At 46.2% G+C, this 13,368-nt stretch overlaps 1 protein-coding gene across 2 annotated transcripts in view; it reads left to right on the top strand.

The window, feature by feature from the left end:
• Positions 1–13,368, top strand: part of ALK (ALK receptor tyrosine kinase) — a 728,813-nt gene that overhangs the window by 383,060 nt on the left and 332,385 nt on the right. For both annotated transcript variants that reach the window (XR_001738688.3, NM_004304.5), the window contains exon 4: positions 6,411–6,612. Coding sequence is in view for 1 of the 2 variants with exons in the window: in NM_004304.5 (NP_004295.2) it covers positions 6,411–6,612 (202 nt within the window). In the remaining variant the exon portion in view is untranslated. The remainder of the gene's footprint in view (positions 1–6,410; positions 6,613–13,368) is intronic.

Raw genomic sequence — 13,368 nt, 5'->3', positions numbered from 1 at the left:
AGGCAATGGCATCTGTTTCCTGAGTGAGGGCCTCAGGAAACTTACAATCATGACAGAAGGCAACAAGGAGCCAGCATGTCACATAGTGACAGCAAGAGCAAGTGAAAGAGAATGAGGAGGTCCCAGACTCTTTTAAACAACCAGATCTCACATAACTAACTGAGCAAGAACTCACTTATCACCAAGGGGGTTGTATTAAACCATTCATGAGGGATTTGCCCCCATGATCCAATCACCTCCCACCAGACTCCACCTCCAACATTGGGAATCACATTTCAACGTGAGATTTGGAGGGACAAACACATCCAAACCATATTATTTCACCCCTGCCCCCCCCAAATATCATGTCCTTACATTTCAAAATATGATTATGCCTTCACAATAGTTCCTCAAAAGTATTAACTCATTCCAATATTAACACAAATGTTCCATGTCCACAGTCCAAAGCCTCATGTGGGACTCACCTATGTGCCTATAAAATCAGAACAAGTAATTTACTTCTAAGATACGATGGTGGTACAGGCATTGGGTAAACATTCTTGTTCCAAAGTGGAGAAACTGACCAAAACAAAGGGGTAATAGGCATCACACAAGTGTGGAACACAGCAGGGCAGTCATTAAATCTTAAAGCTTCAAAATAATCTTCTTTGACACCATGTCCCACATCCAGGGCACGCTGCTGCAACGGGTAGGCTCCCAGGGCCTTAGGCAGCTCCACCCCTATGACTTTGCAGTGTGCGTCCTCCATGGCTGCTCCCACAGATTGGAGTTGAGTGTCTGCAGCTTTTCCATGCTGAGGCTTCAAGCTGCCAGTGTCTAGCTGCCAGTGTCTCTACCATTCTTGGATATAGAAGGCAGCAGCCCCCTTCCCACAGCTCCACTAGGAAGTGCCCCAGTGGGGACTCTGTGTAGAGGCTCCAACCCCGCATTTTCCCTTGATATGGACCTAGTAGAGTTTCTTTGCCAGGGCTCTGCCCCAGTGGTAGACTTCTGCCCATGCCTCCTATGGCATTTAGATGGGAGCTGCCAAGCCTTCTTCACTCTTGCATTCTGTGTGTCTGTAGGCTGAATACCACATGGAAGCATGGCTTATGTTATCCAAAGTGGTGTCTGGAGCCGTACCTGGGCCCTTTTGAGCCATGGCTAGAGCTGGTACAGCCAGAATGTAAGGAGCAGTGTCATGAGGCTGAGCAGGGCAACAGCACCCTGGGCCTGGCCCCTGAAACCATTCTTGCCTCTTAGCCTCTTAGGCCTCTGAGCCTGTGATCAGAGGGGCTGTCCCAAATAGTTTTGAAATGCCCTTGCGATCTTTTTTTTATTGTCTTGGATATTAGCCCTTGGCTCCCTTTTAGTCATGCTATTCGCTTAGCGAGTTGCTCCACAGGCCACTTGAATTCCTCCCCTGAAAAAGTTCTTTTCCTTTCTACTACCTGAGTAGTCTGCAAATTTTCCAAACCCTTACGCTCTGCTTTCCTTTTAAATATAAGTTTCAAGTTTGTCATTTCTTTGCTCCCATATCTGATCATAGACTGTTAGAAGCAGCTAGACCACTCATGAACACTCTGCTACTGAGAAATTTCTTCTGCCACATACCCTAAGTTATCACTCTTAAGTTCAACCTTCCACAGATCCCTAAGGCATGAACATGAATGCAGCCCAATTATTTGCTGAGGTGTAACACAGGTTACCTTTATTCCAGTTTTCAATAACTTTTTTATTTCCATTTGATACTTCCTTAGCTTTGTCTTCACTGTCCATATTTCTATCAGCATTTTGGTCAAAACTATTTAATTAGTCTCTAAGAAGTTCCAAACTTTCCCTCGTCTTCCTGTCTTGTGAGCTTCTCCCGCCCAAATTCCTCCAACCCCTGCCCGTTACTCAGTTCCAAAGTTACTTCTATATTTTCAGGTATTTTTATAGCAAAACACCACTCATTGGTGCCAATTTTCTGTATTAGTCCATGCTTGTGTCACTGTAAAGGAATACCTAAGGCTGGGTAATTTATAAAGAAAAGAGATTTAATTGGCTCATGGTTCTGCAGGCTGTACTGGAAGCATGGCAATGACATCTGTTTCTAGTGAGGGCCTCAGGAAGCTTGCAATCATGGCAGAAGGCAACAAGGAACCAGCATGCCACATGGTGAGAGTGAGAGCGAGAGAGAAAGGAGGGGAGGTCCTAGACTCTTTTAAATAACCAGATCTCACATAACTGAGTAAGAACTCACATATACCAAGGGGATGGAGCTAAACCATTCATGAGGGATCTGCCCCCATGATCCAGTCACCTCCCACCAGGCCTCACCTCCAACACTGGGAATCATATTTGAACATGAGATTTGGAGGAACAAACACAACCAAACTACATCACCATGTTACCATCATATCAATTTGATTTTTAGGATCATTGAGTACCTACCATGTGGCAAGCATTGTGTTGCATACCAGACATTTAGAGGTGGTAGCAGCCTTATAGCAGAAGCATCTAAGAAACAAATGATGCTAGTACAGGAGCCCTTCCTAGGGATGTATGTGTGTAAATCGGGAGAGAGGAAGGCAGGGCAGGGAACCACAGCTTACTTCCTTACATCTTAGCGGGAAAGTTCATGGAGTATTTGGCCAATCGATTAAAACTGTTGGTATATAACCCTCAGAGAGGTGAATTATGAGAAGAAGAGTTTAGGACTTGGGGGCTTGGAGACTTGACTCAATTTCTTTAGATTAATAATATTCTAGGCAGGCAGATAGAATTACTGACAGTTTGGGGCTGTAAGAATCCTTAGAGAGACTGTATCCAACACTTCATTTTACCAAGGAAGGTTGGTAGTAGCAGAGCTACTCCAGTTTAGTCCTTCTGATTCCAGGTTTAGTCCTAGATCAAAGGAATTCCAGACTAAGACACCTGTCAACACAGGGAACTGATTTTTATTACATACCTACCTTGAGCAGGCACAGTACTGCCTACTTGATTCATGTTATTTAATTTAATCTTCACAACAGCCATATGAGGTAGGCTCTGCCCATATTAAATTTGAGCAAATTAATATTTAAAGTGTTTAAATAATTTGTCTAAGGTCAATAACTGAACAGATACAAAAGAGTTTGACCTCTAAGTTCATGACCCTTGGGTTTTGGCCCATAATGTGAGCCCTGCTGGTTGAGATGAGAGCAGCACATTCCTACACTGGTGACCAGAGGTAAAAATAAAAATCATTTCATATTTAATCATTAAACATATCAACAAGATGCATAATAAAAGAAACATGGTTGTGGCGCTGTATGAGCAGAGCTCTTTGATCTGCCTCTCCACACCCCCATGGCCACACTGGGTGAAGGTCTGTGTGCTGCTAGACCATCCTTCTTAGTTAGAAAGGACCCCAGGAGACTTTGCCTAGCCCCAAGCTATCCTGAGCAAAATAAATAGAAACCAAAAAGAGAGAGAGGAGAGATAAATTCTTACTGACTTTAAAAGATTTATACTGACAATATCCCAAGGAGCTTATGAAATGTATTTTTTCCCTTATTTTTGGTAGAGGAAAGCTGCTGATGAAGAGATAGCTCTCAACTATAGAGTTCCATTGAGAGTGAAAATAAGCTCAGTCGCTTATTGATAGTCCGGTTGCAGAAAATAAGATTCATATAAACATCATCTCACATATTAGAACTGGAAAAATCTTCCAGTCAGCTTTGAAAGGGTTCCATTATTGAGGTGCCAAATTTCGGGGACAGAATTTACATGCATGGCCACACCCAAGGGTGGAGAGGAGCAGTGACACAGAAAGAGCCCCTAGTCCAATACCTCAACACCTTCAGCTGGATTTTTGAGCTTCTCATGCATGTGCACATGTGCATAGCAGTAATCTTCCTGAGAAGAATGGAGATACTTTCTTTATTTTGCCCCCATTCTTCCCTTCAGTAGCTCAGAAAACTCCTGGTTTCTACTCAACATTCTGCCAACCTGAGAACATCAGAGAATGGTCTCAGACCAGGACACAGTTGCTGCTGCTCCCTTATGTGTAAATTATTATTGGACATGGGACTGTCTTCATCCTAACCCCAGGCCATACCCCCAAAGAGTCTGGAGCAAGACTCTGTCCCCAGAGATACTTCCAGGGTCCTCACGTGCTCTGCACAGATACACACTACCCTAGTACTGGAAACCCCAGTCATCCACCCTCAACACATTGCCTTTGCTTACAACAGTAATATAGCAAACACTTCGAATTTGCATTTAGTCACATTCTTGCCCTTGTGTGGACTTGTGGTGCAAGATGAGGTTGGGTCAATATTAATTCCCTCTTGCCCCCACCATAACAGATCAGTTCTCCTGCTGCACCACTCTGATGGTGCCACTCACCTGCTCAAAATATCTGGCTCTCTATTATCCACAAAATGAAGCTGGAAATCTTCAGCCAAGAAGCAATGCTCTCTGTGGTCTGGTTACACCTCCTATCTCCCTGGCCCTCCTTATTTCTCAGTCTTCTCTCCAGTGTCCTACTCTGCAGCCAAACATCATCTACCTTTGTCCTGACTCCTCTTCCCTTCAACTTTTGCACAGTCCATTCTGCCAGTATCTTTGTTTTTCTCTCCCTGTAAGACCTGGCTCAAGGGTCTTCCTCTTTACGGATCTTCCCACCTGGACCTCCTGTCTCCTCCTTCCTGAAGGCTCCCAACATGTTTTGCCTGGATGTGTGTCTGACTTTATGACCTCTATTTGTGCTGATAGTTCTTGCAGACATCTGTGCACCCCTGCCAGACCTGGAGTTCCTTGAAGGCCACAACTGTGTCTGTCACATCTATGTCCTCAGGGCAGAGCCAGTGCTTGGATGTTTGCTCAAAATAGGCATCCATTAAATGGAATCTGAGGGCAGAAAGGAGTAAGGAAGGGACCGAATAAATGGATTTGGTCTGGTGTCCATGTGCCTCTCATTCCCCTTCCTGCCCCTCTGACTTCCAAAGCTATACATCCTGGCCACAAGTTACCTTGGCCATGTTTTAGGCTGAAGTACACAGTGGGCCAGTGAAAAAGAAACAAGGAGAAGAGTACTGCTTAGAAGTCCAGAAATCTGGAGTATGGTCTTAACTTTCAAACTAAGACTTTGGACAAGTCATTTCCCTATCTGGATCTCCAGTCTGCTTCCCTAGGAAAGCAAGAGGACTGAATTAGATGATCTTCCCAATTCTTTGTCTTTGGTTCTAATCCCTTTTCTTTTCCTCTGTGCCCATGATAAGAACATTTCCTCTGCTGCAAAATACTGTCATAATGTAGATTATTTATGACAGTTGTAGATCACTTTTCTTATATGCCATGCTGAAGCTTCCCAACAAGTACAGAGGGTTCACGTTCTCGATCCAGCTCAGACACGGTCTTATGCTTCATCCTGATTTTAACCAGAAGTCGCTTTTACTTACTTTAAGAAAGTTGGAAACCTCCAATTCCTGGAACAACACCTTCCTTTTGAGTAATGCTTTGCCTTGGTAGGAATCCCCCTCTTTTATCTGCACCATTGTTTATTGCAGGCTGCTAGTTTATTTGCCTATTTGGGAAACTGGGTTATCTGCAGAAGGAGACCTTGGAAGTGCCAGGAGTAGTTTAAGAAGACTGAGTACTCATTAGCTGCTTCCCACTGTGGAAGTCAGGGATCTTGTTGAAACAGATTTCTACTGCAAAAGGAGCAGCATCTAATGGCCCAAAACTTCAAAGCAGAAGTGAGCAAGTAAAATTAATGTATCAGAAGGAATGCCTGGAACAATATAATGGTGGTGTGCTTTTACACTGACAGTAATCCCCATGAATGTAGGTTTCTCGCAGGTCATTTGGCCTGTGCTACTGGAATCAAGATTGGCTTGCTCCAGAGGGAAACTCTGCCATGGGCACAACAACAGGGGAGATTTGTAGGGCTTTTTCTGTGGAGACCAGTTGCAAGTTCACATGACTCATAGGCTCAAGAGCTGAAATGAACATTAAGAGATTATTGAGTTCAGCCAACCCTCTCACCCCATTTTACAAGGGAGGAAACTGAAACCTAAGAAAGTTAATGCTTTTCCAAAGATCATTCAACTAGTAAGGGAAGGAACAAGAGTCTTTTGAAATAGATGTTTTTATTCCTGTTTTGCAGATGAAAAATCGAAGGCTCTAGGACACAGAAGTAGGAAGTAGGGGAGCTAAGGTTCGAACCTTGGTCTGCCTGATTATAAGGCCTATGTCTCCAGCCACTGTCCACCTGCATCAGGCTATACTATTTACAAAGAAAATCTAAGAATGGAGGAAGAAGGCTGGGTGCATGCAGAGAAGGAGATAATGGCCTCCAGTATCTCTGATTTTGATGCCATTTGTCTCTAAGTCTTGCCACAGAGCTACTGCTGGTCTTACCTGAACACATCTGCAGATTCGTTTTCCCTGTCTCTTTCCAGGCTCCTTTCTCCTTCTCAACACCTCAGCTGACTCCAAGCACACCATCCTGAGTCCGTGGATGAGGAGCAGCAGTGAGCACTGCACACTGGCCGTCTCGGTGCACAGGCACCTGCAGCCCTCTGGAAGGTACATTGCCCAGCTGCTGCCCCACAACGAGGCTGCAAGAGAGATCCTCCTGATGCCCACTCCAGGGAAGCATGGGTAAGTACTTCTCCATGTCCAAAATTGATTTTATACCAGGTGATTTGGCTTTTGGTTACACATTTCCAGAGTCTGTGACATCTACTTACAAACTCATGATTGTCCTTTAATCGGTAGGTCCAGGTTGAGCAATTACTACTAATATCCCTTAGGTAGTGTCTTGGGTACTGATTTGTGGGTCCCTCTGACTTCCCTGGCTAGTGGCCCTTCCAGAAGCCAGAGGACCAGCTGCCAGAGTGGGGATTTCATGAGTGGGTGTTAAAGATGTTCATTTCCCAAAGTTCAGATACAGCCAAGAAGAAAACAGTCAAAGAAATGTTAAAAGGCCAGAATGAAAGTAATTTAATATGGTAGAAACTGGGTTTTACCAGCAGAAGTTGGGCAGGAAGGGAAAGGACAAAGTACTTTGGCCATCCAAGCGGGTTCTATGGGAGTTTGGTACCCCAGAGCAGGATTAGTCATGGATACTACGCCAATGTAATTCAGTAGAGATTGGAACAGAGCTTTGTGCTACAACCACCAAGACATATGACAGTGGAATCCTCTAAGCTTTCTGGAGATACTTGCTTACTCAGTGATCCATCAGGCCTCTGCGGTAGTGACATTGGAAAGCAAACTTAAACTAGGGCACTTCTGTGCCTGGCTTTTGTTTTTCCATTCCATAAGTATAAATACCATCCTATGACCTCAGCGTTGAGGGACCCCAGATCTGATTACTTTAGCAACAAGGATCCTTCTTTGTGACTTGTTTACAGGAGAAAAAGCCCAACTGTCTAGCTATGCTTAGACTTGGCTTCCTTCTAAGAGAATACCTTTTCAGAAGGGTCCCACCTGAACGATAACTGTTACCCATTGTCCATCCCCATGGTGTGCAGGGGAGAGATCCTGCCTGTTGCTTTGGCAATAAGGCTGAATGGCCTCCTTCGTAATTTCTTGAAAGTCTTCTCCCCACTCCCAGCCATTAACCCATCTGTATTTAGTTGCACTTAGAAGGACTACAAGCTGCTGCAGTCTCATCAGGAATGAAATCTTGACATCAAAAAGAATGCTCTCCCCATTCCTAAACTCATATCCATCTTCTTGCCTCTGAAATGCCTCTCTGGGCTGGCTGAGAAGGTCCCAGCTACCAAGGACTCTTGCTCTATTCACCAGATATCAGTGTGGCATAGCAGGTGTCTGGGCTGCCCCTTGTTTGGGACCAGCTATCTTCTGGCACCAAGCCTCCCTCCAGCACGGCTTCTCTTTCCAGTAAGAAGCCTGGATGGGAAGACTTCTTATCTGAGGGCAGGGCTATGTGCCATCCTATAGGTATTTGCCCAGCCTCATATTCTGAGAGCTGCATATTCTGACTTATCACTCTCAACATTCCTTCCTTCCCTACCAGGACTGGCAGAGACCAGGGAGTGCTGCTTGAGGCTTCTGAGCCCTCAGGCATCAGTCCATTGTGGTGCTGGTGGCGGGTGGGAGGATTCACTGATGTGGCTGGGAGAGGTGGAGTTGGAGTCTGAGAATACCCATGAGTGTGAGAAAAGGTGCCAGAGGGGTTTCAGCACTTCTTGTGTGGCCTGGCCTGTTTCCCTGTGTAGCATAGTCAGGAAAATAACTCCTCGGGTATGACTGGCCATAGGGCCTTGCAAATAGTTTTTCCCTCTTTACCTTTCTATGCTCATATAGGAAGTCAATTCTCATTTAAAAGAGGAGAAAACTGAGGCAGAGAGAGGAAATAGGAAGTGATGTGGTCCAAACTGGACTCTTTCCAGGAGACCTGAAGCCTCTTAGGGAGAAAGGGTGGAGTTGGGAAAGAGAAAGGGAAATATGAAAGAATCTTGCAAAAAAAAAAAAAAAAAAAAAAGAGCGATTATTTTGATTATTTGATCCTTCAAGACAAATGAGCCCTGGGACTTGCCATGTCAGTGCCTTCAGGGGCAGCCTTCCCTCCACATGATGCCATGGTCACCTGCCTCAACGTCCACCTGGCCACCCAACTTATCCTCTTCCCAAGGCAATGCCTCCATCACCAGAGGAGCTGCTCTGTCCTCTGGAGGGTGTGAGTTGAGCAGGAGAGAGGAATTGGGACTGAGCTGAGGCAAATTCAGTGACTTGATGGCTTTGTCTGGGGCAGAGTTTAGTGATGAGCTGGAGTGATTCCAGATTTAAAGATGCCTGGACCAGCCTCCTCACCTCCCATGAGATCTGTGTGGTGAGGGTAGAAGGTGGCAGCAGAAAGGACAATCAATGGACCATCCACTGCAGCGCAGAGCTACTCTTGTGGGTGCCTTGGCCAGCTGCAAGGAACAGGGCATTTGCCCAGCAAATCAAAACTTGCCCAGCTTTGCACTGTTCAGAGTTTGGGATCACAAAGGATGGAGATTTGCCTGCTCTCTGATTATGGGGTCGCTGCTAGTCTCAAGAATCTTTGGATTTGCAGTACTCAGCAGTTTGCCTTGCCGAAAGCTTGCTCTGTTTAATGTCAGAGATGACCTCACTAGCATAGTGCTCAGAGCAGCGAGGGGGACACAGTGATATCCTGGTGATGTTGAATGTGATGATTACGAATGGGGCTGGCTTCCTCTCATAACAGGAGACGGTGGTTTGGGGACCACTATTTGGAAAACAACATTCCGTGTTTGTAGTAACGAGGGAGGAAGTTGTAATAATAAAGTCGGCTGGGGAGAGCCTGACTCAGAGGAGTGGGCTGAGGAATGACAAGTCAGACGCCACCAAGTTCCCCGGAAACCACTGTGTCGTGAGCAGGTGGTGCCGGCTGTCGTGCACGGGTGGGGCAGGAGCAGCAGACTGGTTGGAAGCACCCGGAGGCAGAAGGCAGGGGAAAGGCAGTTGGAGAAGCACAGCAGCTGCTGCCTTCCTGGTTGCCTGGAAAGCAGCAGAGTATATGAGGTCTAATGAATCACAGAGCATGAGTGGCCACGTTGGCCAAGGCTGCCGGGCTTTGGCTGGAGTCTCGCAGGGGACAGACAGATGAGTGCCCAGCCTGCTCATCTGCATGGCCAGAATGACCAGAGAAGCAAGGAAGCAGAGAAATAGGGGCTACCAAACAGCCTAGGCCCGGCTGATCACAGAGTCACATAGGCATAGGACATCTTAGCTAGAAATTAGTGGCCATAAAGTCCCCATGAACTGAATGAATAGGATAATACTTATGTAAAATGGTGAGCTGTGAAATGGCATATGGAAAATGGCTCGCACAGTGCCTGGCTATCATTGGCACTAATAAGTGCTAGGTCCTTTTGGGTTCAAACATTCATCTCACCATCATGGATTGAGTGCCTCTTGTGTGGCAGGTGCCAAAGATGACACAGCCAAAGACAACAAGGTCACAGCTTTCAAGGAACATCTAGTCCAGTAAGGAAGACACAAGCAGAATAGCAACAGCACATGCTTATGTGAATGTTTTAAAATTGAGGCTCGTATTATTAAGAGGCTGAGCTAAGATCGCTAGTGGCAGATCCAGCAGAAGCAGCCGGCTAGGGAGCCACCCACTGCACCACACTGCCATTCTGATGTGTCTCAGAAGATCAATCCAGCAGCAATTGTCTGTGTAAAATTGGTCCTCTCCCGGATGCAAGAACGCAAGCTTGATGGTGGGTGGCGTGTAGGGCTATAGGAGACACTCTCCAGGGCTCCTACCCAGAAGGCCACCTCGTGTCTTGTTTCCTTTCGAAGCACATGACTTTTTCCCACAGCAGCGGGTATCTGGGGACTTTATTATGTATGACCAGAACTACACAGTGTGTGGAGGGAAGAATTGGGCCTCAAGGGGATAGAAGTTGCCAATCATTTGGATTACTAATACTTGAAAAGATATTTTAAACCGGAAGTCGTTGAGGAAACTCAGGCTTGAGCCAAGATAAGCTGTCAGGGCATTTTAAAGCACAAATAAGCCTCAGTCCAGAGGGTGGTGGTGAATTGAAATTCTCAGCACAAAGCCTTGCCTTTCTGCAGGACCTCAACCCCTAGACCCGGAAGATACGGGAGTCTAACCTCCTCCCCTTTCCATGTTGGTTTCCTGATGGGGAACATGAAGCCCAGGCGGGTGATGTGATGTAATGTGACGTGATGAAGGTCAAACTGCAGGCTCAGACCCGGCACAATGGCTCACACCTGTAATCCCAGCACTTTGGGAGACCAAGGCGGGAGGATCACTTGGGGCCAGGAGTTCAAGACCAGCCTGGGCAACATAGCGAGACCCCCAACCTCTACAAAAAAAATATATTTTTAGTTAGCCAGGCATGGTGGTACATGCCTGTAATCCCAGCTATTCATGAGGCTGAGGCAGGAGGCTTGCTTGAGCCCAAGAGGTTGAGGCTGCAGTAAACTGTGATCATGCCACTGCACTCCAGCCTGGGTGACAGAGCAAGACCCTGTCTCAAAAAAACAAACTAAGAAACAAAACTGCCTGCTCGTGGCAAAGCCAGGACTCATCTCCACAGTGGCACCCTGGAAAGGTCTGTTTCCCAGCTGCCCAGCTGCATCAGGAAACCCTCAAACTCACTGCCCTTAGATTAAAATCTGCAGCCACCCTCCCCAAGTGAAGAAAAATTTGCATTCATGCTGGGTACCCACACAGCTGCCGCGCTTACTTAAGGCAGTCAGTTCTGACCAAAGATCCCAGCTTTAAAACCAGTAGCAATCCTAATAGGAAATGTGCCAAGGTAATTTAACTCAAAAAGATATTGATTTGTGGCCATCAGGAGGTATGGTTTCAATCCTGATTCCACCGCTAATTTGCAGCATGGTTATGGACAACCACAGTATTGCCCAGCCGTAGCTTCTTACCTTCTAAAGTGGAAGCTCTGGTTGCCCTCTGCTCCCCTCTTCTGTCCTGGCAATGCCAGCAACCTATCCTCAGATGCCATCCAGGACTAGGGCAGCAGGAAGTAATTCTCCCCACCCCAGACTCCTGCTCCCTGGACAAAGAGGAACCTCCCTACTGGCCCACTGATACCTTCACCACTAATGCACAGAACCCTGGCTGTTCCTGTCAGTAGACAGGCCAAGCGAGAGATGGTCTCAGGGCAGGGCACCTGTGGAAAGATGCCACCAGGTATTTGCTTCTGAAAAGGGACCTGATTGCTTTTCCCAGGCTGCTCTGGGTTGAACTTCAGTCAGCCCAGTGCAATGTGGCAAGTCTTGACAGCTGAGGAAATCAGAGCCTGTGGCATTCAGCCTCCATGGTCAAAAGTTCTCTTCGAATCTTGCCTGCATGATAAATGAGATCAGAAATAAAAAAGGTGATCATTTATTGAAACTGATGCCCTCAAGTGGCAGTGTCACAATGATTTCAGGCCCAGCTTTTTCTCACTTTCAAAGTCATTCATAGAGTCAGCTTCTCTCTTTTCCCCCATGGTCTGAATAACACACTAATAAATATACAATAAGGCCTTTAATGTCTAGGTGATTTACACTAAAAAGAGAGAGCCATTCAAAGGCTCTAAAGGTAATTTTTAAAAGCCTTAAAACTCACACCCAGGCTTGTCAGGGGGATATTTCTCAGACACCTTGTTACAGGAGCAATCACGTAGCTCGAAGTTCTCTGAGCACACAGTGGGCAGGAGACTTGAGCTCTAAGTATTCTTGGAGGAAATTCTTCACACACAATATGAGCTTGGACAAGTCTCAGAATCTCTACAAGCCTCATCTTTGTCAAATGGTAGTAATTGTGCCACTCACGGGGTTGTCGTGGGTTTAAATTAGATCAACAAGCAGAGCAGGTGCTGATAGTGCCTAACCCCCTGCCTCCCAGGCTGTCTGTCTAAGGGACACTCTCCTCTCAGGCTGCTCAGGGTCATGGGAGAGTGGGCAGGAAGAGAGCCAGGGTTACAGATTTCACTTAAACCCCTCCTTCTCAGAGTAACCACTTGTGTTCTCCAAGATAGATCCCAAAGTACCAGTCCCATTGAGTATACCTGGATTTACCATATTCCTCCCCACTTTAAGTAGTAATATTGAAGCAACTACTAAAATGCTAGTCCTCTTAAGAGGAACTGGACCTTCAGCGATTAACATAGTAGGTCTCAAGCTTTAGTAATACAAGTGAGAACTACACATTTTACAAACTTCATACAATTGAGTCTCATCTTTTTTTTTTTTTTTTTTTTTTTTGAGATGGAGTCTTGCTCTTGTCACCCAGGCTGGAGTGTAGTGGCGTGATCTCAGCTCACTGCCAGCCTCCGTCTCCTGGGTTCAAGTGATTTTCCTGCCTCAGCCTCCTGAGTAGCTGGGATTACAGGCCCCCACCACCACACCTGGCTAATTTTTGTATTTTTAGTAGAGACAGGGTTTTACCATCTTGGCCAGGCTGGTCTCAAACTCCTGACCTTGTGATCCACCCACCTCAGCCTCCCAAAGTGCTGGGATTACAGGCATGAGCCACCGCACCCGGCCCGAGTCTCATCTTGAGCTATTCTGATTTTACTCGTCTTGGAGTGGGCCATGAGCATATGTATGTTTAGAAAGCTCTGCAGGGATTCTGGGTGTGCACCAAAAGTTAAGAATCATGGCTCTAACATCTCAGCTTGAATTGGTTGATCACATAAGCGGGTAGCTTTATATAACCATTTACTAAGCACTAGGAAGAAAAGTAAAAAAGAAAGCTTAAAGACTTGGGAGGGACTTGTGTTTAAGGTGGAGAGCCATTTTTCTCCCACTTATGGGTGGACAGGCTAGTGACAAGGTTTCCAACCCTGGCCTAATCCTGCCTACATAGTCCCTGAGCTGAGGTAGCTGGAGGGTATC

This window comes from Homo sapiens, chromosome 2 (genome assembly GCF_000001405.40).
Source record: "Homo sapiens chromosome 2, GRCh38.p14 Primary Assembly".
In the NCBI taxonomy this organism is placed as follows: domain Eukaryota; kingdom Metazoa; phylum Chordata; class Mammalia; order Primates; family Hominidae; genus Homo; species Homo sapiens.
Note: the sequence above shows the minus strand (reverse complement) of the source record. Positions and strands in the feature narration are given on the sequence as shown.